The sequence below is a fragment of the Homo sapiens genome, chromosome 7 (genome assembly GCF_000001405.40).
Source record: "Homo sapiens chromosome 7, GRCh38.p14 Primary Assembly".
Taxonomy (NCBI): Eukaryota; Metazoa; Chordata; class Mammalia; order Primates; family Hominidae; genus Homo; species Homo sapiens.
The window spans coordinates 122374927-122400311 of record NC_000007.14 but is presented as its reverse complement, the minus strand read 5'-3'; the positions used below and the strand labels follow the sequence as shown (position 1 = coordinate 122400311).

The 25385-nt window shown below is 35.6% G+C and overlaps 1 protein-coding gene across 29 annotated transcripts in view; it reads left to right on the top strand.

The window, feature by feature from the left end:
* CADPS2 (calcium dependent secretion activator 2) overlaps nucleotides 1–25385 on the top strand; it is a 568050-nt gene that overhangs the window by 486149 nt on the left and 56516 nt on the right. For 9 of the 29 annotated variants that reach the window (XM_017012794.3, XM_047421031.1, XM_005250697.6 and 6 more), the window contains 6 exons: nucleotides 6730–6871; nucleotides 6997–7116; nucleotides 11574–11729; nucleotides 13139–13286; nucleotides 14003–14017; nucleotides 20870–20944. In XM_017012794.3, the coding sequence (XP_016868283.1) occupies nucleotides 6730–6871; nucleotides 6997–7116; nucleotides 11574–11729; nucleotides 13139–13286; nucleotides 14003–14017; nucleotides 20870–20944 (656 nt within the window). The remainder of the gene's footprint in view (nucleotides 1–6729; nucleotides 6872–6996; nucleotides 7117–11573; nucleotides 11730–13138; nucleotides 13287–14002; nucleotides 14018–20869; nucleotides 20945–25385) is intronic. The other 20 variants (NM_001363398.2, NM_001363395.2, XM_005250706.6 and 17 more) reach the window with 3 other exon arrangements.

Sequence of the window (25385 nt, the reverse complement as noted above, 5' to 3'; positions counted from 1 at the left end):
GCATGCACCACCACACCCAGCTAATTTTTTGTATTTTTGGTAGAGATGGAGTTTCTGCATGTTGGTCCAGCTGGTCTCAAACTCCTGACCTCAAGTGATCCACCCGCCTCGGCCTCCCAAAGTGCTGGGATTACAGGCGTGAGCCACTGCGCCCTGCCTGCTCTAGTTTCTTTCCTACTTGTAGACTTTTTAAAAATTTTAATCTGCTTTTTATATTTTCATAGGGTTTAGTGGCTTAAAGATAATCACCTATTCTAAAATGCCAGTGTGTTTCTTGTAACAGATCACAGGAACACCTGTAACTTCTGAAAACCATGGGCATCAAGAAACCCACCCTTGGCCGGGCGCGGTGGCTCACGCCTGTAATCCCAGCACTTTGGGAGGCGGAGGCGGACGGATCACGAGGTCAGGAGATCGAGACCACGGTGAAACCCCGTCTCTACTAAAAATACAAAAAGTTAGCCGGGCGTAGTGGCGGGCGCCTGTAGTCCCAGCTACTCGGGAGGCTGAGGCAGGAGAATGGCGTGAACCCGGGAGGCGGAGCTTGCAGTGAGCCGAGATCGCGCCACTGCACTCCAGACTTGGTGACAGAGCGAGACTCCGTCTCAAAAAAAAAAAAAAAAAAAAAAAAAAAAAAAAAAAAAAAAAAAAGAAACCCACCCTTGAGAGAGTTATCGATCATGATATAGCTGTACTCAATCATTCCCATTGATGGGGCAAGTATTGTGGGACATTAACTCAAAGATTAGAAGGCTATGCATAGCTTGAGTAAAATTACAGACTTTTCTATTTGCCTTTAATATTACATAATTTCATTTAAAAAACAGCATGAGGACTGCTGGACCATAAGACTTCTTTACTTATCTTTGCCTTATAAGCTTCGGTTAATTAAGCTTTTCTGAATTAGTTTCACAAGAAACAAGTGCCTAATGCCTACAATTTACAAATCCTAGGCTCCTTGCAAATACATGTATAAATAAGAAATGATTCCTCCCCTTGAAAAACATAAAATCTAGTGGAGGATACGCACATATATACACAAATAACTTGATGCAGTAGATTGTAGAAGTATAACTCAAATTATGTGTGCCATTCTATGAAATTTTTTCATTATAGTTTTAAATTTGGATGTGTTGCCCAAAAAAGTAAGAAACATTTTAACAGCTGTGTTCTATCACTTCTTGTCACTTTCTCTCCCTAGGTAGATGTATAGGTGTATAAATATATATTAGCAAGTGCCCCAAGGGAAAAGGAAGAACTGGGTGTGGTTTTAGGGGTTATTATACTAGTTAATGTATACATTAATATTACCAAATATAAAATTACTTGTCAAATTTTTAATTAAAAGGACAATAGAATCCAGTGTGTTTCCTAGTCTACTTAAATGGGATGTTCTTGGAGTTTCCCTTAGGAGGTAGATTTTTATTGATATTTATTCAATAATCAGACATTTATAGAGTGCCTACTTAATGTGCCAGATTCTTGGCTGGGTGCTATTCCTAAATCTCAGGGAGGGAGGAAGGGGTGAGGGGTGGGGAGGGCGGCGGGAGAGAGAGAGAGAGAGAGAGAGAGAAGAGTGTTTTCCTTTTACATAATGCTGTTCTAGACTGCAGTTCTGCTGGCTTTTCTCCTGAAGCCCATATTCATATTTTCTGTTTCTGTGATGGAGGTCTTCATTATATGCATTTGTCAACATGGAGAGCGACTTATTAATTTTCTTAGTCCACTGTGCTTGCATTGCTCAGGGTTGATATAATTTTTAGTCTCTTAAATAATTGTTTTATGGCAAAGTCTGTTGATTTTATTGTGATTTGTATTGTCTGTTTGTTTTGCTGCTAATGAATTACCCATTTCCTTCTGAAATGCCTAATGAGAAGTTTGAGGAGAAAAATCATTCTTTCTAGTAATCCACTAAAGCTAGCTAATTGGAAGAGGATGAGCACTATAAAATTGGATTATATGGGTTCAAGAGTCAGCAGCATATTTTTACCCTAAAAACAATATATGAATTCTTTTATTTGCTTATTCTTTATTTTACCCAGTGATTATTGTCTCAGTAATTGTTATTAATTGGATCATAGTTTAAATTTAAATTCTCTGTTGAAATCTTACTACTAAAAGCCTATGACAAGTACTTTTGTAAATGAAAGAGGCTTTTTCATATGAAAATAATCAACACTAATTTATTATCGGGGATTTTCAAAATAATTGGGCATATTGCATCCTGAGTTTAGCTTATATTTAAGCCATTTGTTTTCTTTTTGCCATTTCTAATTGTACCATAGGGCTCGATGTCATTGATGCCTCATTATTTTCTAACAAGGTGATATTTGGAAACATGGAATCTTTTCGGGAAAAAAGTTATTTTTTTATCTGAAAAATAGGTGCTGGCTTTCCCCTCAGGCGGTAATCACTTTTTGAGACTCATTCTGAGCAGCCCTTTTCACTCTCTCATACTTGAGTATGGTGTCAGAAGTGTTCTTGGATGTGGCCGCATTAAGAACTTGCCTCTTACAATGAACTGTTGTAATGGGTGCTTTGTAAAGGCTTGATTTGGACAGGTGACAGCCCCAAATCATAACCTATCCTTATTAAACCATATGGAGAAGATAGAAGCACTTACTCTGATGCCTCAGGCTACATATTAAGAGGGCCTTTTGACAGTGTCTGATAGGAGTGGAATGCAAGCTGCCATATGGACAACGAAGGAAGGAGCATACATTTACATAGACAAGTGTAGTGTAGGGTGTATTTCTGTAGCTTGTCTTTGGAAACCAAATATTCTCTTTCCTTTCTTTCCCCCTCTTTGTGTATTTCTCTTTCTTTCTCCTCTAGTCCCTCCCCCACCCCTCCTCTCCCTCTCCCCTCCATCATTTTCTCTTTGTCTCCCCCATTTCTCCCCCACTCCCTCCTTCCCCTTTCTCTCTAATTACCAATGAAATAATACTGCCAATTTTCTAAAATTTTCAAGTGTGGGTTTATAATTTTTTTCAAATAAAAAATAACTCTTTGCTGAATTCTGAGCAAACTTTTGGCTAGAATTTAAGATTTTTTGTAGTTCATAGGAAATATAGGTAATCTTCATTTTCTTTAAATTCTGCAGGATATAATCATTTGCTGTCAAGATTCATAACTGACCAGAGAAAATCCTTTCTTTGCCACATTCATTAAAATAAGAAACATAAAATAACCAACTTTTATATTCATTAGAATTTTTAGCAGTCCGATCTTGTACATATGGGTTAAAAATAGAACTTATAGCTGTATTATTTAATGCTATATATTTTATACAAAGTATGAGGCGTATACACAGGCCTCAATAGGTTTTATAAGTGCCATTTAATACAATAATAATGTAATAATCTTAGCCTTCAAATATTCATTCATCCAACAAACATTTGATTACTTGCTCTGAGCCAGGGACTTTTCTGGAACTTAGAATACAGACATAGTTCCTGCCTTGAGAACCTTACATCCTTGTAGGCAGCGAGAAATATGTCAGCAAGAAATATGTCAGCAGGAGAAGACCACTTGTATGACAAGAACCACAGTGGAAACCTGTCCAGGGTAGAGAGTAAACAAGAGAAGCCAGTAATTGGGCAAGGGGACAGCAGAAGGAAGCATTTCTAGAAAGGATTTGAGGAGCAGGTGTATATTGAATCGTGAAAGTCATTATGACTGTATCACAGGAAATGAAAGGTAAGACAACAGAAATGAGCTGGAGAAGTAACTTGTAGACAGGTCTTGGAAAGCTTTCATACCATGCTCAGGCTTTTCAAGCTTGTCATAATGATCCACTAAAGGATTATAATCTTTAGGAGTGACATTCTTAGTTTCATATTTCAGCAAGCCCCTCTGCTTATGATTTTGAGAAGATGGATTGGCAGAGGAAATATTAGGATCCTAAAGACCAGTTAGGTTATTATTGCATTAATCAAGACAGGAGATGAGAGGGCTGGACTATTGCAACAGCAGTGGTGATGAAGAGAGCACGGTAACTTACTGAAAGATATTAAGGATATAAAATACACCAGTCTTGATGACTAATTGGTTGTCAGAGTGAGGAATGGTAGTTTTATAGAGGTTAACAAGGAGTTTTTCTATCAAATCCTGGTTCTACTAATGACTAAATGATCTTAAACAAGTATCTTAAACTCTCTATGCCTCAGTTACCTTATTGATAAGTTTAAAAAAATAGTTCTAGCCAGGCGCAGTAGCTCACACCTGTAATCCCAGCATTTTGGGAAGCCGAGGCGGGTGGATCACCTGAGGTCGGGAGTTCGAGACTAGCCCGACCAACATGGAGAAACCCTGTCTCTACCAAAAATACAAAAATTAGCTGGGCATGGTGGCATGCGCCTATAATCCCAGCTACTCGGGAGGCTGAGGCAGGAGAATCGCTTAAACCCAGGAGGCAGAGGTTGCAGTGAGCCAAGATCGTGCCATTGCACTCCAGCCTGGGCAACAATAGCAAGACTCCGTCTCTAAAAAAAAAAAAAGAAAAAAAAAATCCTCCCTCGTAGAGTTTCTGTGATGATTAAATGAGATAAGGCACATATAGGACTTCACATAGTGCTTGGTACTCCAAATATGCTAGGGATGAGGAGGAGGAAGAAGAGAATGAGAGTTCTTAAGTAGAGACCCAATAAATTCAGATATCAGTATATTTTTTAATTTGCATACTACAGTGAATTAGATGGTTTGAGTGAGAATATTTTATCCTTAAAGTTTAGCATGCTTATTTAGGTGGCATTTGATAAAAGGAACTGAATTATTTGAGCTATAGTACCTTCTAGCTCGATGATTGAATCTCCAGGAATAAATAAAGCTTCTTTCAGTGTGCTAATGAAAACATCATTAAGATAACATTAGTCTCCTAAATAAGACACCTATCATTAAATATGATTATTGTTCACAATTTAATGGGAAATGTTTTAGCATATAGCTGAGCTGGGAAAAGAGTATTTAACCACAAAAAATACTAACCCATATCAATTAGAGGTAGAAAAAAAAATCTGTTATATTTCCTTCTGTGTTTAGAATTACTTCCCACACCAATTTATGTGCCTGTAGTTGTCCAGCCTCAGAGAAATTTCAGAAACGCATAAAGTAACATATCGAAGCCATCTTCATATACATGCCACAGTGATAAACATCATGTACTTTGACAAGAGCTAAAACACTATTAGGCTTTTGGGATGTTTTTGCTCTGAAGAAGATAATGTGGGAAGTTGTCATAGTGAATATTTTATAAGACACTGCTATTGGAGTTGCTAGTAATTAGATTTAGTAACTATAAGCATATATAGCTATTCAAATCCATAAAAGTGAATGAGATTACTAACTTTTCCCCAGCTTCTACCTCTTCACCCTAGTCAAAGCCATTATCATCCTTTACCTAGTCTATTGCAGTAAACAACTGAGTATTAACCTTTTTCTCTGTTTTCACTCCTGGCTACCTACTCCATTTCCACACAGCAGCCAGAGAGATCATATCATGTCACTCCTCTGCATAATCATAAGCATCATAAAGCTTCCCATCACACCCACTAAGAGCAACACTCCTTACTCAGTCCTAGGATCTAGACCCTGCCATGGGCTGCCCCTCCCCCTCCCTCAGTCTATTGCAGTTACTCTGGCCTTTCATCTTTCTGCAAAGACCCAAGCTTATTCCTTCCCAAAACTTGTTTGCTAGCTGTTCCCTCTACCTGGAAACCTCCCCTTTAAGTCTTCCATGGAAGGTTCTTCTGTCTCTTCAGGAATACCTTTCCTGACCACAGAGTATATTTTTAAATCAGCACATTTTCACTTTGAGGGCCACAATGGGGCTTAGGACATGTTCTTTGAGAAATATTTACAATCTATAGTACTGTCATCTAAAATAAAGTCTTTGTTAAATATTACTTAGCATTACTGTTTTCATATAGATTCTCTATTTTTTAATGGTGAAACTTAGGCATATACTCACCTATATTTTAATAAAATTGTATCATCTGCATAGAAAACATTCATCGCCTGAAAAAGGTGAGTATACCTTGCCCAGCAGCCTTGTAGCACAAATTCTAAGATTTCTGTCACTACTTTAGGTAGGATGTTCCATACTACCATTTATTAAAGACAAATGGAAAACTAAAAAATCCAGGTCATGTGCTGTTTTTAAATACAGATATGCAAAATTGAATGACTAAAAAGAAAATCCACAAATAACTATAATGTTCATGAATCAAAATAGATATTCCCAAACCCACAGACACCCTCCTAGTGAACAAGAATAGCTTTTACAAGTCATCAAGCTTACCTCTTAGAATTGAGAAGGTTTAGCTCCTCTGTGATACACAGCATAGCACAGAGATTGTAACTCTGCTTAATTGCTGTATTTACATGTGTCAGGACCTTCAGGGGAGCTGGCAGCTCCCTTGAATTTCCAGCGAGTGGTCATGTGCCTATGTGTTAAACCTCTTAGAAAATAAAAACATACCACCTGCCAGGAGAATTTTAGAGAGATATAATCTATTTGTGTTTTGACAGCCATATATAGAAGGCTAATTATACTTTTTGATCAATTTCCATGATATGATATTCAATATGGGGGGTATGATCTACTCTCATCTGCATTTTATCAGTTCTTCTGTGTCAGACTCTCTCAGAAAACGTGTTTTTTTGGCCCATATTTTCCAAATGTCTGATATTATCCCTCTGACAAACACTGTTTCTGCTTGGCTATTTCAGCACTTTTGTGTAATGGAAAATTTCACAAACACTTGCAAGAAATCTTTGTACCCTTGGTTGTCCGCTATGTGGATCTCATGGAGTCTTCCATCGCCCAGTCAATTCACAGAGGTTTTGAGCAGGAGACATGGCAGCCTGTCAAGTAGGTATCTTACCTAGTGTCCGTAGAGCACCTGCCTCTTCAACCCTGACCTTATGACTTCACACATGGCCATCTGTAGTTATCGCTTATGGTGGTCCCTTCCCACGTTGTTTGTTTCTTTACAGGAATATCGCCAACAGTCTTCCCAATGTAGCTCTTCCAAAAGTTCCAAGTCTGCCTCTTAATCTTCCACAGATTCCTAACATTTCTACTGCTTCGTGGATGCCTTCTTTATATGAGTCCACGTGTGTATTCCTCACTTATTTCCTGGTGGTGTGTTAGCTGGTGCATGGCCTGGGCTGTGTTCTGCGCAGATGTGTTTAGACTGCATGGCATTTGTCATCGTTGGTTGAGGAATACTGTTTTTTTTTTTTTATTTGAGTTTTTAAGCTAGTAAGCTAAGCTTAGCATATCTGTGATGAATAATGTCAATTAAAAAGAAAAAACACGCTAGTTTAATGTAGTTCATATATAATCTGTGGGACAGGAATAATTTGGTGGCATTCTACCCTAAGTAAATCATTTGGTGACATTGTACCCTAAGTAAAATAATCAGAGTTCTCCTTATGTATACAAAGCATTTTGAGGATTCTTAGCTCCAGCTTTATTACTGCCCAGATGACTTATCTTGTGCAAGTAGAAAACCTTTGGAAGAATGGTTTCAAGAATATAATATTTTTCTATTTTTATCTTAGTCTCAACTTTTAAAAAACAGTACTGCATCATTGCAGGCCCTTTCATTGCCAAAACCAGGAAGTTCTTCTTTTGTTCTTTTATTATATAGTTGGTACATCTTGGTATTTTTAAATAGTCTTTATATCATCAAAAACCATATTTATTAACTTCACATCATGATGAGCTTGCCTATTGCAGAATCAGCAACTAAGAACCACTGAAGTGAACAGGAATGGGCTTTTAAATTGATCAGTTCTGAATTTAGATCTTAGCTTATTAATTGTAAATCCTTCTTAGCCTGAGTTTTTTCCTCAACTCTAAAACAATTATGACACCTAAATGAAAGATGTTTTTGTGATGATTTAAAAAAAAAAAACTGTATTGAGGCATATCCTAGGCTCTCAGTAAATTATTAGTACTATTGGCATATCCTAGGCACCCAGTAAATGATAATTACTACTACTCTACATTGTTGTTTTTGTTATTATTACTATCATCAGGCATCATCATTATAATTTATAATGGTATAGTTTTTAAAACTATGAGCCTCACAGCAATCAGAACCAAGTAATAGTACTAGTTTACAAATGGGAAAACTCGGGCAGTTACCTGCTTTGCCCAAGATCTCATATGAAATCAACTAGAAAGAATAATCATGAGAGGAAGAAAAATAGCTTCCATTTATTGAGATTTTACTGTTTCCAGTACAGTGCCAAGTTATTTATCTCATTTAATCTTTATAACAACCTCATATCATTATCCCCATTTTACAGTTAAGGAAACTAAGTCATAAAGAAACTAAGAAACCAAACTTACCCAATATCTCACAGCAAATAAGTGACAGAGGCAAAATTTGAACCCAGGTTCGTTTGACTACAAATTCCTCACTCCTATCATTAATTTGTTCTGCTGTCATAGAACGTTGTGTTTAAGAACTTGCTACTTTTCTACCTATCCCACCACCAACTGCAAATCCACACCCAGTCAGGTATGCACACAATCAAGAAAAGAAATAGGAAAAGACCAAGAAAGAGAATAACTTGCAAAGTAATTTGGCAATATTTCTCCAAGTTTAACATCATAACTGCATTCATAATACTCACTAGGATATTATGTTACATGTGAATTTTTTTTCTTACAGGCAAATGCTTTTGGTCATTAGAGTGTGTAAAGTGGTGTCTGTGTGTGCTCAGAAAATTGCCTACAAACTATAATGAACCTTTCTAAGTGTATGATTTTTTTGTTCTTTTTTACACTGTTTTATAATTTAACTCCTTTTCTTCCTAATTTCTCATCTATTTAACGCTTGATTTTAGCCAAGAACACTATCATGGGCATTATCCTGCGAAATTTATTTTTTTGTTAGTAATCTTTTATTAACTTTGGGATTTGTACAAACTCTGAATCCCTTATTGAGGGCCCTTTTTTAAAGTATGTTAATTTCAGGACAGGAATAATGACAAATTGGGGCTTTGTAAGTAAAGTGATTGTGCTTTCACCATTCTGGGGAAATTTAAAAATGTGTTTTACAAGTTGATCACCATTATCTTTACCTACCAAGGTTATCAACATTAGGTTCTTTGTCAGAGTGTCCAGAATTACTCATAATGTTATGATGTTATTGCCATTTGTTTTTTGAAGTTTGAAACATTAATAAAAAGAAACATTTATATTTAACATAAAGAATTAAAAATACAACTGCTGATTAAATAAGAAGAATATAAAAGCAACCATGGTTTTGAAGATACATCCCTGCCTACCAATGCATAAATCATGCAAGGATTGCTCATCGACATATGTATCTGTATATAAATCTTTATTCTGTTTTTTTTTCTCTAGAAATGAATGCCAGCAAGTTAAGTTTCCTGCTGGCATTTTTAGGAAATTATCTCAGAGTCTACTACTCACATTCGAATTCTTTAATCTGTTAATAATACCTTTAGGAATAGGCCACCAATTAGAAATAATTTTAAAATGAAAAAGCTCTGAATAAATTGCAGGTTATATGTACCAACTCCAGAGAAAGCCTACTCACATTTTTTTCATATATCTATCTAATTATAACAAACACTTGTTATCTTAATTACATTCCCAATTAAACACATTTATTGTCAAGAATCTTACCATAGAATCAAACAGAAGAAAAATGTAACCATATTCTCTATGAAGATTGCCATGTATTATTAGAAAATCTATTTTTAGTAGAATTCTGCCTTTACCATTAGAGATTTTGTTTTTATGATGTTTTTCCTTGTCATTGTGTTGTTAAAGAATATATACATTCCAAATAGTTACATTTCTCCAAAGTAAAAATATTATAAGAAGCAGATTTGCTTCTTTGCCAATTGTATTCAGTTATTCTTAAAACTCAGTTCCTCTAATCTACCAAGCTGTACACTGTGGATGTGAAGGGAGATTTTGTTTGTTTGTTTTCTCTTAATTGTATGATATATATGGCAAAAGGAGAAATAAAGGTAGTGTTTTTTTCAACACTTTCACTGTAGTATCAGAATGGTGTTGTCTAGTTCTCTTATTTAATGGTGCATTTGAGGCACTGAATATTACGGTGAAGAGATTTAAGTGAGTAAAGTGCTACGGGAGTGTTCAGTGCTTTGCTATGATTGGTCCCTAGAGAACTTAAGTCTGAGGGCATTTTGGCTAGACAAGGAGATCAGGAGGAATTACTGGCAGAATGAGAAGAGAAAAGCAGTGTAGGTTTGTGATAGAGCTTTGACGCTGAGGCCAGGGTGGAGGGCAGGAATAAGCTTTTCATTAGTCAAGAGCAAGAGGTGCCTTTTTTTCTAAGCTAGCTCATAAAGATATATTTAGCGAAACAATGTGGTGCTTTAAACAATTTATTTTTTTTTAATTTTACTTTAAGTTCTGGGATACATGTGCAGAATGTGCAGGTTTGTTACATAGGTATTTTCCCCTGTGCTGTTGTAATAAATGAGTTTATTTCTTTAATTTTCTTTTGTAAACTAGAAATATAAATTTTAAGTTAGTATATGTGAAGCAATTGTGGGAAAGCTGAGAACAAATGAATCATACAGCAGCTTTTTTTTGCTTTTGCTTTTATGCTTTTTATGGTTAAATTTCAATATGTTTTAATGTAGGAATATTTTACTTTCAAAACACTTGTTTCTGTATTAGCCTATGTACTTGCATAATGGAAAGTAATAACCATTTGCCAAAATATTATATGTACTCTTCTATAAGTTACCTTCTAGAAGGTAACTTCTATAAGTTACTGTAACTCTTCTATAAGTTATCTTCATACATGGGGTGATAGCACTCCTGTAGAGTAATTTTACCATAATAGTGAATGCTTAGCAAATCTTGGCTCCACAGTTAGATATAAGGACCTGAAACGCATTGTTTTTCTCCATCTTCAGAGCACCCTGAATGTCATTTCTCTGTCAGACAATACCTTGCACTAAGTTGGGTTTTAATAAGCCAGAAAAAGCAAAAAATGAAAATAAAAGATTGCTTCCCTACCTAGCCCGTTTTATTTCCAGTTCCTGTCTCATCTTTACCTGTAATTGAGAAATTCAAGGACCCTATGTTCTACACACGTGTAGATAGACAGAAACCACCATGGTGACAGAGGCACATATGCATGAATAACGGCAAAGGTACTGGTTACTAACATAAGGATTTTCTTGCATAAAACATAATTTTGGGGATTTGCAAGAATCTTTATCCTAGAGATTGGTAAAGAACAGTTACAATGTTTGTTCTTATGTACACAATATAACTTCCTTAGTAAAGTATACATATCCATTTTACCTCTTTGTATGAAACCCTACCACCATATTTATTTCTATTTTGTTCTCCTTGCCCTGCCTTATTAAGAATTGTAGAGGAACAATTAGAAGGCTGAACAAAGAAAATATTGGATCATTAGAGACTTTATATGGTATTTTTTTCACTGATGGCAATTGATGCAGAAAAGAAAAAACAATGTATTAATGGTATACCTAATTAACGGGGAGTTCATGATGTTCATTTTTCCTTTTTCTTCTAGCAATGGCTCAGCAACATCAGAAGACCTTTTTTGGAAGCTTGATGCACTGCAAATGTTTGTCTTTGATCTGCACTGGCCAGAACAGGAATTTGCCCACCACTTAGAGCAAAGACTTAAACTAATGGCCAGTGATATGCTAGAGGCCTGTGTCAAAAGGTAGACATGTATTTTCAAATTGCTGCTTAATGTGCCAGCACCCAAAAATATCACTTTTTATCAAGTACCTAATATATTATTGTCACAGCAAAGGTTTCATTATGCACCACTATTCCAACATTTAATGAGTATTAGGTTATCTTGATTAAATTCTGGGGACCCATGTAATTGATGAAATTGGCTGGATACTTTTTTTCAGGTCTCCCAACTATTGCCTTAATCAGTAACATCTATACCATATTAATGGTTTCTTTAGGGCTTATTGTTATCTCTCTGGGAATACTATGCTTTAAATTCCCAAGGTAATATCTCCTGAGACGTATGAAAAAGGTCTGTTATGTTCTGTATGCATTATGTACTGTGTCTGTGTGCTGTGAAATGGCATAGTAAACTCAAAATAGGATCAGCACCATCAGTTGTTCTGGGATTACTAACTATTTTCTGTCCACATCAGATGAGTTCCAACTATCTGCTTACATTCTTTATCACTTAACTGGAAATAAGTTATGAGGCTTCATATTCTTCCAAATGTGCTTTCATTTTATCGTAGTTTTAAAAAATCAGCTTTGCATCCTAATTGGTCAAGCATTTTTTTCCCATTGTCCTTGTTCATTATATATACAAGGACAATATGGAGCCACATATTAGAAAAGTGTTCAAACACTGGTTAGACCAATTGGATATTTCTGAAATCTTGAAACCAAGAAAAAATCTGTCTTTAGAATAATGTTCAGTGGCCCCTTAAGGCAAGGCCCTGGATTAGGTAGTTTAATGTTTTTTAAAAATCATCTTTGATTTTGATGTCTCGATTCTGTGGATTTTCATAGGATACTTCAGCAAAACCAATTCCAAATTGCTCATGATGCAGTTCCTTTCAAAAACCTGCCTGCAATTTTAGGTTTTTGAAAGAGAATGTAAGTGACATAAAAGAATTACACATTGTCTGTTGTACATTGATTACCATGTTTTAGGGTTTTCTAGGTTTGTGCTTATTTTTTCTAATTTGGTAAGACCTCACATAGAGGATATATTCTGCTTAAATGCATACAAGTGTGTGATTTTTCTACTTGGAAATTCAGACAATTAATTCAGACAATTAAGTGAAATTATGAGTTTTTTTTCCATTAAATGTGGTACTCTAGATATAACAAAAAGCTTCATTTGGGTGGCAATACTGCCTGAGTGACTGCATGAAGCTAGGCTTAATATAAAAATATGACAATCTGATCTTTCATTGAGACACTTGAAAAGAAAAGCATCCCACCCCTTAGCTCCCAAGCACTGCCACACTGCTTACTCCTTATTTGCATGTTTTAAATTAGCATCTTGTAGTGTTGATTTCACTTTTTACAAAACAGGTGAGCTGTATAGCAGAATTTCTTACTCTGAATTCATGTTTTAAAAACTAGAACAAGAACTGCATTTGAACTCAAGCTACAAAAGGCAAGCAAAACAACTGACTTGCGCATTCCAGCTTCCGTTTGCACTATGTTTAATGTATTAGTCGATGCCAAAAAGCAAAGCACCAAACTCTGTGCCCTGGATGGAGGACAAGAGGTATGTAGAATGTGCCACATGGGGAAAGGCAGCACAGGGTGCCTTGGCATGGGAAATGCCCTTTCCACAAGGCATTCTCTTGATTGGATTGAAAAGACCAAGTTCTCTAGCACCAAACGTTTGATCTTTACTATAATAACAGAATGCCCTTTATCCTTTGCTCATGTCAGTTTCTCCTTTTTGATATAAATATGGTCTAAAATTGCATTAGTGGCCATGAATTTTAGATATAGCTTTTAACAGCTGAAGTGTTGTGTCATTTACATAAACCTTGCTTTTTACAAGCAAATGAGAAAGCTGGAAAGCTACCTGTTTTGTTTATACAAATCTAGAGTATCCAGAGTTTGCATCTATAAAAGTAAGACACACGAAAAAGTGTGAAATAGTTTATTTACACAGTAGCTTCCATTTTTAAAAATTTAGGTTGAAATAGACTTAAAAATCTAGGCCTAGTTCTTATCAATAAATATCCTATTCTTTCTATTTTATTTATATTTTGTTTGGTTTTATATTCAGAAGTACAATTTTATTTTACCCCATGATTTTTTGTTGAGAGTGGTGATTGGGTGAAAATTGATTTATTTTTCTTCAATTATCTGTTTTAAGTTGATTTTGTTGCCTTTTTTTCCCATTGTAATTACTTTTTCTTCATTTCTTTATTCTTCCCTTCTGTTCTCTTTCATCATCTTTTTTTTTCCACCCATGGCATGATCCAGTTTGGTAGTCAATGGGTAAGTCTCATTTTTTTTTCTAAAAGCACATTTCATTTGAGTTATTATTTTTGTAAATGTATATTTTTTATTTTCATCTTTTCAAATTAAAATTATATAAATTTATTTTCAGATTTTTGGCTTCTGTGTTCGCATATATAAGGCTAACAGCTTACAATAACATAGCAATAGTCCAAAGATTCATGAAAACACTAAATACTTATACCTTAAATAATGACGAGGGAAATGTTTCTCCCCTGTTAGTCTGCAGAATTTATAAACTCCTCTTAGAATTTTAAAGATAAAATTATTTAAAACCAAATTAATTCACCTTCTTTTAAATTGAAATCTGAATAACTATAGGAGCAGAGTGATAATTAACATTTTTCAAGCATTTATCTACAGTATACTTTTAATACCAAAAGAATTTCAAGTTTGGAGCTTTAGATGACATATAGCCCCTAAAAACTTGAACCAGGAGGCCACACCCAAAGTCACTTCATACAGATGAACCCAGTGGTGGATTTCAGTGAGGTACAAGCCCACCAGTGATACAGTCTTTCCTCCCACTCATGGCCTAGGATGTGACCATCATCAGAGGTAAGGAAGAGGCAGGCCTGTGTCATGAGACTTCTGCCCTCCTCCACAACAGTTCGTCCTAAAATACTACCCCAGAATCCCTGAGGTACAAGGTTAGAAAACCTTTATGCGTAAAGGATTGACTAGTGTATACTTTTTTTTTTGTCGTGAGTTAGAATGTCTTTGTGTCCTGTAGGTAAGTTACATCTTACAAGTCTTACAGTTGACAATTGGGAATCAAACTCAGGGTGACTCTTCCTGGGCTGACAATTCTCATCTAAGCAGAGGGGCTTAGTTAACTGTGAAAATAGATGGGAAGGCCTACTACTTGTGAATTCTATACCTATTGCCCCAGGTATAGACATTAGCTATTTGGCCATAATTTATATTTATGCATGAATACACAATTTTATTCTTTGAGCAATTCAGCAGAAAAAAAAATGTATTTATATTACCATAGCATACAACCTTACACATATATCAGGTAACTGATATGTGTTATAGAATGTTCAGTAATTACCATTCTCTGATCACTTACAACATGATTTATTATATCTAATTATCTGAATAAGTAGGCAGCTAGCTTAGATACCAGTGGCTCCTATTTACCTCCTCATGTTTTTTTAATAACCAGATGTAAGCCTTTGATTGTCTGCCTGAGAATATTATCTTAGGTTTCCTCATAAACCCATTCTTTTCTCATCTGGTTTGTGGAATCATCTTCCATTCATACTGGGTTTATCCGTTTGTTCTTATTTTAACATACACTGCAGTACCTGACATGCAGTAGGCACTTTAGTAAATGTTTGCTGAGTGGATGAACAGATTTGTTGTCACTGCTTTAAAAATCCTCCCCTGTAAGAAACAACTTGCTGTAGTACTTAAAAGGAAAAACAGGCACACACACACACAAATGATGAACATTGTTACATTGTCAAATGATTCTTTACATTAATAGGTGGGTGGTTTTGAAGAGTAATCTACTACTGTTCATTATGTGTGCACCTGTACATTCACACCAGAGACAATTAGTTCCCCACAACTTTCACACAATTAACATAGTTCAGAATGTGCAGGTGTAAAACCCATTAGCAACCCTGAAAAAGTGGTAAACAAGAATTTCATTGCAAAAGAATTTTATACTTCGCTTTTTCTCTCCAGTAAACATACCCACATAATTGCATAGGCCTTCCCTCTGTATATATGCTGAGATAAGTTTCGGAATTGTTGAAAATTAGTATATACATTACATATACAGGTGAGCCAGCGGACCTCATTTATAAAAAGCAACAAAGTTGTTGAAAAAAACTAGATCATTAGACAATTTGGAACCATGTAAAAATATATACTACATAGTTAAACATAGCAGCAATGTTTTTTCTAAATTATAAAGAAATTACCTCTCCAAAATCTCTAGTAAATGTGTTATATTGTCATCGCTGGGATAAAACTTTCCCAACTCCTTCCTCACAATGCATTCCCTTCTGTGCTTCTAAATTATGATCCTGTTTTTCTTACATGCTACATGATGATGCAAACATGTTCCACTGAGGCCCAGAATAGGGTTTAATGGAGTGATTAGTGGGTGAATGATCTGCTCATGTGACAGCTGTGTGAAATGAGTCAGCAGTCTCAGGCCAGTCCCTCAGGGACAGATGTCGAGATCACAAAGCCACCTCAGTGTTTAGAATCCTCATTATCCGTAACTGCACAAAAGCAGATGACTACCTGGGCTGTAGGCATTCATCAGCCCTCAGAACCACTTCATTCCATGGTCCCATTAGTTGAGGATGAAGGTGAAAACACATTAATATGGCAATTCGGGGGAGCAAGGGGCCCTACTTGGGCCAAATTTGTTCTCAGTTAAATTAAAATGCATCCATTTCTGGAACTAACAATCCAGTACCTTTAAAATATTATATACCCCAAGACAAGGTCCAAAATCTTTTAAGAAAGCTGGAATTCACTGGCATCTGATTAGCCATTTCATGAGTGTCTTTGTGTAACAGCAGTCAGGTGAAGTGGTGCTGTTCACCTGATTGTAGAGAGGCCAGGATTTTGGACTGTGTCTGACCTGTGATTTCCCTGGGCTTCATGAAGTAAGGATTCCTGAATGGTTATCTTAATGTAAGTTCAGAATCACCTGCGGGAAAGCAGGCACAGTTTGCCTTTGAGGGCAGATGTGGAGAAACTTAACTTAAGAATGAATTGAAATCTAACAAAGCCCTAGAATCTAAGATTATCAATCCAACTTGAAGTATTCGAAGAATTTTATTTTCTTCTTTTAAATTTCAACTTTTGTTGTCGATATGGGGGTACATGTGTAGTTTTGTTACACCTGGGTATTGAGCATAGTACTCAATAGGTCGTTTTTCCATCCACATCTCCCTCCCTCCCTCTCCCCTCTACTAGTCCACAGTGTCTGTTGTTCCCATGTTTATGTCCGTGTGTTCTCAGTGTTTAATTCTCACTTATAAGTGAGAACATGCAGTATCTGATTTTCTGTTCCTGTGTTAATTTACTTAGGATTATAGCCTCCAGCTGCATCCATGTGGCTGCAAAGGATATGATTTTGTACTTTTTTATGGCTGTCTAGTATTCCATGGTGTATATGTACCATATTTTCTTTATCTGGTCTACCATTGATGGACACCTAGGTTGATTTCATGTCTTTGCTACTGTGAATAGCATGGCAATGAACATACAAGTTCAAGTGGTTTTTGTTTTTGTTTTTGTTTTCGTTTGTTTGGTTTAGTGATCTGTGTTCCTTTGGATATGTACCCAGTAATGGGATTGCTGATTCAAATGGTAGCTCTGTCTTAAGTTCTTTGAGAAATCTTCAAACTGCTTTCCACAGTGGCTGAATTAATTTACATTCCCACCAACAGTGTATAAGCATTACCTTTTCTCAGTATTTTTTCTTTTTTTGTCTCCTTCTGTTGCCCATGCTGAAGTGCAGTGGCATATTCATAGCTCACTGCAACCTTGAACTCAGGCTCAGGCGATCCTCCCACCTTGACTTCCTAAAGTGCTGGGATTACAGACATGAGCCACCATGCCCAGCCTCTGATAAAAATTTTATAGGTTTTTATTGTTGGAAACATTAATGTACCAAAAATGTTGTCTGTTATACTAAATGGGAAAAAAAACCTATCAATTTTAACTTAAAAATGTCTATGCAGATAAACTTTTACCTGTGATCTCTTTTTGCATGTTCATGTTTGTCTTTGAAAGTTATCTGAAAATTTCTAAAAAGCTGCTTTTATGAACTAGTTTAAGCACACCACTGATCTTAGAATGTTTTAACCATCCACTGAACACTCCTGTACCCACCCCAGATGAACACACAATAACCATTGTTATTTTGGCAGTTTTTGACTTGCCTTATTTTAAATGCGTGCACACACAAATATTACTTTTACAGATAATCATTAATTACATTTATTGACATATTTCAATTTCTGGTTTCATCCTTGTTCCTTCATTCTACAACTTCCTTTTATGTTAATTTGTCATTTTCCTGAAATACATTATTTAATACATTTTTTAGCAAGGATTAAAAAACACAGAAGAAGAAAAAGAAAGTTACCTGGGTCCCCTAATGAATGACTTTTTCTAGCTAATTTTGTATACCTATGTATGGCATATGTGAGTTATTGTCTGCAGAATATATATGTAAAATGGGAATTCTCGGGCCATCTTTTCTCTCACACTCATGTGCCTATACGACCTCCACCAACTGCACAGCCAGAGCAGATTCTGAAAGTTCCCAGCAGTTGTAATATTAGTGTAAGTCATATCTAACCAGATACATTTACAATAGCAGAATCCCATATTATGCAAATCTAAAAACCTCACACTATTTGGATTTACCCCTTGGGTATTAAATTTCAGATGTATACTTCTTTATTCCTTTGTTTTTAACATTGTATGTGTTTGTTTTTGTTCATTCATTCTCATTTTCTCTCCCTCCCTCCCCATCTCTTCCTCTTTTTCTCTTTGTCTCTGCTTATGGCTAGATCAGGTATCAAAGCAAGCAACAATCTACGGGAGTGTATTATAGGAGAATTTAATGGTTCCTAGTGTCCACTGACTTTCACTGCTTTTCAAGAAAATGGGTATCAATGACCTCTTTTGTGGCTCGTCCCTTGATTTTAAGATTTGCCAGAATCAATTCAACCCAAAAGTTTAACATGTAGAAGCTCTGTATTTTATATACAATAGCTTTCTGATGACATTTGATCACTTTGAATTCAAAAAATGGAAGTTATGAAAACAGAGAAAAACATTGGGGATAAGGCATGTTTAGGAACCTGCCTGGAAGTCTGGGTGCCTCAATGCCTGCATGCTTTGGAGCACTTTCCATGTAAGAGGGAAGTGAGATGCTTGAAGCCCAACTCCTGTATCTCTTTCCTCTTCTACCCCTAAAGAGGTGTATCACGTGGCATTTAATTTCCTCTTGCTGAATACACTGATCTGGAGCAAGAAGGACGTGAAACAAGAGTGGCAGAGTGGGAGAGCCAGGCAGAGCTCATTTGCATAAGCTTCTCCATCGCACAGTCAGCTGCACAGCTTTCAGCCAGGAGCTGGGGGGCCTTTTTTGTAAGTGTGTCTGTGGAGGGATTACCCTACCCATCAGCCAGTGCACTGGAATTGTTCAGCTGGTCTCAGATATGTTCATGTGTGGACCTGTCTGGCTCAGAAAATTATTAATAATTTAGACTGGATCAGAAGTTTAACTGCCAGCCAGCTTTTTCAGGCTCTTTTTCTTCTACCTGTTTTTCTGTCTTCTCTCCCCTTTTCTCTCCCGTTTTCCTTCTCTTCAAGCTATCTCGAAAGCAAAAATATCAGCACTACTGGAATAGAAATCCACTCTCTATGTTTCAATTCCATTTATCCTCTGGGGAGCACAAACTTGGGAATCAATAAAGGCTTTAAGTGAGACAGACATGCTTTAGTGGGTGCAATATGTGCCCAGAAAATTCCACATTCACATCAGTGTGGTTAATTTTAGATCACTCATCATTATGCACTTATATTCACACCCACACACACTCAGACTCACACAGAAAAAGAAAATAATTCAGACACTCCAAAATTATCCTTCCTTTCTTTATTATTTATGCAGGTTTATGATAACCACTTGTAACTGTCAGAACCCTTGGGGAGAGGGGTGGAGTGTCATTCCTGAGTATTCCAAAGCAGACCTAAGTTGATGTTTTGTACTGTGTGGAAACTTTGAGACATGTTTTCAGCACAAAAAAAAAAAATAGCTTTCAAAAACTTACATCTTAAGAAACCATTCAACCAGCAGTGAAGTTGGTCTAATGTTTATATTGACCTGAGTACTTTTACTCTATGCATTTTGTTAGCTGTTCCAAGAAGCCTTGAACCATCAAGATAGGGTTAGTCTTTACAAGTCACATTTTCTGTGAAGTGGCTATTGGGGACAATCAGTTGTCAGATAAATGCTTCTAAAGGAAGAATTACTGTTTAAATGGATGTGCCTTCACAAGCCTTGGAAGCCAAAGCTTCTGCTAATTTAAGAATGGAGCCCTCTAGTATTCTCTAAAGAAAGAAAAAAAAAAGTCTTTCAGGTTGATTTTAAATACATCTTTTTTTGGTATTTATTTAAAGGCATCTTTTTCATGAGGAAGCGGTAATAAAACTATGGGGAGTGAGTGATGTTTCATTATACCTTTTATGGCCTATTAATTTGTTACCATCTATTCACCTTTGTTGATGAAATTCTAATTTTGCCCTTGCTCGAGCATATTGTAAGAATTGTATAAACTGCTGCTCCCTGTGCTGACAAAAAGTCCTTTTAGAGTGAACAATTGGGAGCTCATTTTATTTCTAGAGCACATTTAAAATAACTTATGAATGAGAGTTGTCAGACATGAAATGCAGTATTAATTAAATCTTTTTCTAGTCTTTTTGCTTCTCCAGCTAAACCAACCCTTTAGAAAAATACATGGCCACCTTAATTATAGAGGAGAAGACAAAAAGTATCCTTCACATTCCTCTGCCTGAATAAGAATAAGAACTCAATTCATCTAAATAATAACCCCATTAGCTGCTTAACTCAACAGTGCACATGGGAAAATTTTCAAACCACAATGTAAAAAGTGTTGACTGGGTGGATCATTTTCAAGGTTTTGTTCTTTTAATGTTCTAAATGATCATTTTAAATAAATCTGATAGGTCATAACTAGTAGATTTAGAGCATTTATGACTGATGACAAAAGTTTTGTGTCCATGTCAACTAATGAGTTTTTATCTTTTAATATCTAGCAACAGTACCATTCAAAAATAGATGATCTGATCGACAACAGTGTAAAAGAAATCATTTCACTGTTAGTTTCAAAGGTAATGTATTATTTATTCACCTTTTTAAATCAAAGTGAAAAATTGTCAATGGAGAATTTTTTAATGTTTTTAAATATCTAATTGAGAAAAAATGTAGTTTAAAAGATTAGGGCAGGAAAAAATTAGAATTTTCAGAAAAGTTGGGAGCAAAAAAAGGTTAGGAACACTATGTCAACAGCTTTTGTTTTTTTGTATATAATAAATTTTGGCTTTTCCTACAATTGTTGTCATTTTAAAACTAACTCTTCTTCCAGTAAAACCTTATTGTGTCACATTCATGTTCTTATGCTATTTATTTTAACTCCATAGCAGCCTTGAGTAGTCATCAGTCCTTGAATTTAGCCCATCTGTAGTGGCGATGGCACTAAGGCTCTAGATCTGTTCTCAGAGACAGAGAAAGCTGCAGGGTGACATCTGAGGTCCTCCACGCCCAGGAGTTTCCCAGGATTTCCAATTTGATGCTCAAAATACCTTTGATGAAAGCGATGATCTTTCACTGTATAAGTAGAGATGAAGCAGTGGGCGCATCATTTAGTGATTAGATGATTTAGATTCCCTCTAAGGTGTAACAGATGGTCATGAGTAGCATATGAGATCGGGGGCTGATAAGGAAAGGAAGAGAGAACATGAGAGCACCAGGAGTTTAAGAGGATGAACAGAGAGAATGGTCATGTTCCTAGAGGCACTTTCCTATAAGCAGATATATCCCATGCTCTCACAAGGCTTCATCAAAAAGCCCCAAATCAGGCTTCTTCATAAAACAACTGGAAGGATGACAAGAAGCAAAGGTAAAACCGCCCCCAATTTAATAAACAGACAAAAGACATCCTGTTTAGAAAAGAAAAAATAGAGCTGCCCCATGAACATGAAAAATGTTAATCCTCATTAATAATTTAAGGAATGCAAAGTAAGCTACAATAGTATACTATTTTCTCTAGCAAATTAGCATACATGTTTTTAAAGTAACATTCAGTTTCAGGTGAGGCAAGACACTCACCTTTCCTACATAGGGGAGTATAAATTGTTACAGCCTTTCTGGAAAATAGTTTGGAAATACATCAAGTACATTAATACCTTTTCACCTTTTTCTATTTTGTCATACTGCTTAGATGCACAAAATATATATTATTGGTACTTGTCACATTATGTCTTACCAATATTTGGAAACAACCTTAATTTCTAATGAGGGAAAAGGTAAAGCAAATTATGGGACATCTGTATTAAGAAATGATACTTTCAAAGACTATTAATGATAAATGAAGAGTTTCGTAATATAGTATTAAGTGAAAACAGCTGAATATTTAAAAGTGTAAAATATGATCTGAATTTGCATCTTATAGGAAAAAGACTGTTAGGATAAACACCAGAATGTTAACAGAGCTTTTCTCTGGGTAATGGGAGTATAGTTCATTTTTCATTTCATCTTCATTTTTTTTGTAGTTTTCAAATTATCTCATGGCATGTCTTAGAGTGGAAAACAACCACAAAGAAAAACGATGTTAGAATCACACCACCTCACCAGCTTATTTTTGTTCTCCTGATTTTTACCACTGCACCAAATACCTACAGATACAGATACCTCACACACTCACCAACAAGTGGATAGATAGAGAAAAAAATAATAGGAAAACCATGGGGGGAAGGGGTGAACTACTGGAGAATCAAGTTCTTTGAGGAAGAGCAGTGAGATTTCCACCCTCTGAGGAGCCCAGCACAGCAGCTTGCATCACCACGCAGTCAACGCACTACAGTGAAATAAAGTTAACTTTGCACCTTCTTCTCTGTGAGGCCTTCAGGGAAATTTTATCCAGATATAACCAACCCGTGAACATAGTCCTCATGCGGAAGTTGCCTTTTGTGAGAAGTTTGCATAATCGGCATCATTCAATTACATGCTAGCTATAGATGATATAAGGTTTATCAGGCAGCAAGGAAAAAGTCCAGCAAGTTTTGCTTTGGGAGTGGGAAGGAAGAGTACAGAGAAGGCAGATGGGGCTGCATGTCATCTCTGCATCCATTTCTGGCAAAGTAAGACACTTAAATTTTTCTATATCAAATACATCAGGTTAATTTTAAAAATAGTGTATTTGAGCTAAGTAAGGAAAAGATATTCTAAAATAACCTGCACAGTCCACCAGTGGCTACTAGCCACATGTGGTTGTGGAGTACTTGAAATGTGGCTAGTGAAGCTGAGAAATTAAATTTTTAATTTAATTTTGATTAAAAGAGCCTCGTATAATACTGGATATTATATTTAGAAATCAGCACTAGGTTATAGTTTTCCTCTATGCCTAATTTCTCCTGCTGTCAAATCGTACTTATCTTTAATTCTTTGGTTGAAAAGTATAAAATAAGTTTACTTGATAGGTTGAACCAAACATCTCAAGCTTCTATAAGAGATGACAATAATTGATGTTTTTTAAAAAGATGATGCAAATTAATCTCCATAATTATGATATTTTTAAAACCATTTTATTGAGATATTAACAGACAGAAAAATTGTACATGCTTAATATATACAAGATGAGTTTGTAGGTAAGTATACAACCATATAAGTTTATAATCATAAAACCATCACCTCAAACTGTACCATAAACGTATCCATCACCTCCCAAAGTTTCCTCCAGCCCTCTTAAATAATTATTTCTGTGTGTGATAACAGTCACATAAGATCAATCCTCTTAGCAAATAGTGTTGTTTTCTATAGGCCCTATGCTGTACAGTAGCTCTCCAGGACTTATTCATCATGCATAACTGAGACTGCTTTTGACAAATATCTCTCCATTTCTCCCTCCCCTCAGTCCCTGAGAAACCAACATTTTACCCTCTGCTTCTGTTATTTTGACTATTTTAAATTCCTCATATAATTGGTACTATGTAATATTTAATCTTCTGTGTCTGAATTATTTCACAGAGCATAATATATTCCAGGTTCATCTGTTTGTCTCAAGTGGCAGGATTTCCTTCTTTTGAGGCTGAATAATATTTCATTATATGCACATAACTCATTTTAATTATCCATTCACCTGTCTCATGGATATTAAAGTTGCTTCCAAGTCTTGCCTATTGAGAAGAATGCTGCAAAGAAATGAGAGTGCAGATATCTCTCTGATATACTAATTTCAATTCCTTTGGCTATATACCCATTAATGGGATCGCTAAATCATATGGTAGTTCTATTTTTCATGTTTTGAGGATTCTACACACTATTTCCCATAGTGGCTACACCAATTTACATATCCACCAACAGTGGGCATTTTCTTCACATTCTCACTAATACCTGTTATCTTTTGGGTTGTTGATAATAGCCATCCAAACAGATGTGAGCTAATATCTCACTGTGATTTTGATTTGCATTTCTCCAAAGATTAGTGATGTTAAGCTCCTTTTCGTATACCTGTTGGCCATTTATACATGTTCATTAGAGATGTAGTGCTTTGCTCATTTTTTTAATTTTTAATTTTTTTTTTTTGGCTATTGAGTTTTAGATGTCAACTCCTTATCAGACAAATAGTTTGTAAACATTTCCTCCCATTTTGTAGGTTGCCTTTTCATTATGTTGATTGTTTCCCTTGCTGTGCAAAAGCTGTTTTACTTGATATAATCTCATTTTAAAAAATATTTTGTTGCCTGTGCTTTTTGTATCATAGCCAAGAAGTCATTGCTACGGCCAATGTCAAGAAACTTTTTCCCTATGTTTTATTCTAGAAGTTTTATGGTTTGAGGTCTTAAGTTATTTAATCCATTTTTACTTGATGGTGTTTAGTTGATGGTTTTGTTGATCCATTTGTTTATGTTGTAAGATAAGGGTCAACTTTTATTCTTTTATTCTTTTGTATGTGTACATCCACTTTTCCCAGCACTATTTATTGAAGAAACCATCCTTTTCTCTTGACACTCTTGTCAAAGATCAGTTGACCGTATGTGTGTGGGTTTATTTCTGAGCTCTCTGTTTTGTTCTATTGGCCTATACATCTGCTTTTATGCCAGTAACGTTGTTTACATTAAAAAGTTTACTTAAAAAAGTTAACATTGTTTACTTTTTTGATTATTTTAGCTTTGTAATAGATTTTGAAATTAGGAAGTGTGGTGCCTCCAATTTATTCTTTTGCTCGGAATTGTTTTGGTTATTTGAAGCTTTTTGTGGTTCCAGATGAATTTTAGGATTGGATTGCTTTTTCTGTTACTTTAAAAAAAATGCCATTAGGATTTTGATAGAGATTGCATTAAATATGTAGATCACTTTAAGTAGTATGGACATTTTGACTATAATAATTATTGTAATTCATGAACATGGGATTTTTTTATTTATTTGTTGTCTGCTTTAATGTCTTCAGTGTTTTATACTTTTCAGTGTACACATTTTTTGCCTTCTTGGTTAAGTATATTTCTAAGTACTGCATTATTTTTGATGCTATTGTAGATGAGATTGTTTTCTGAA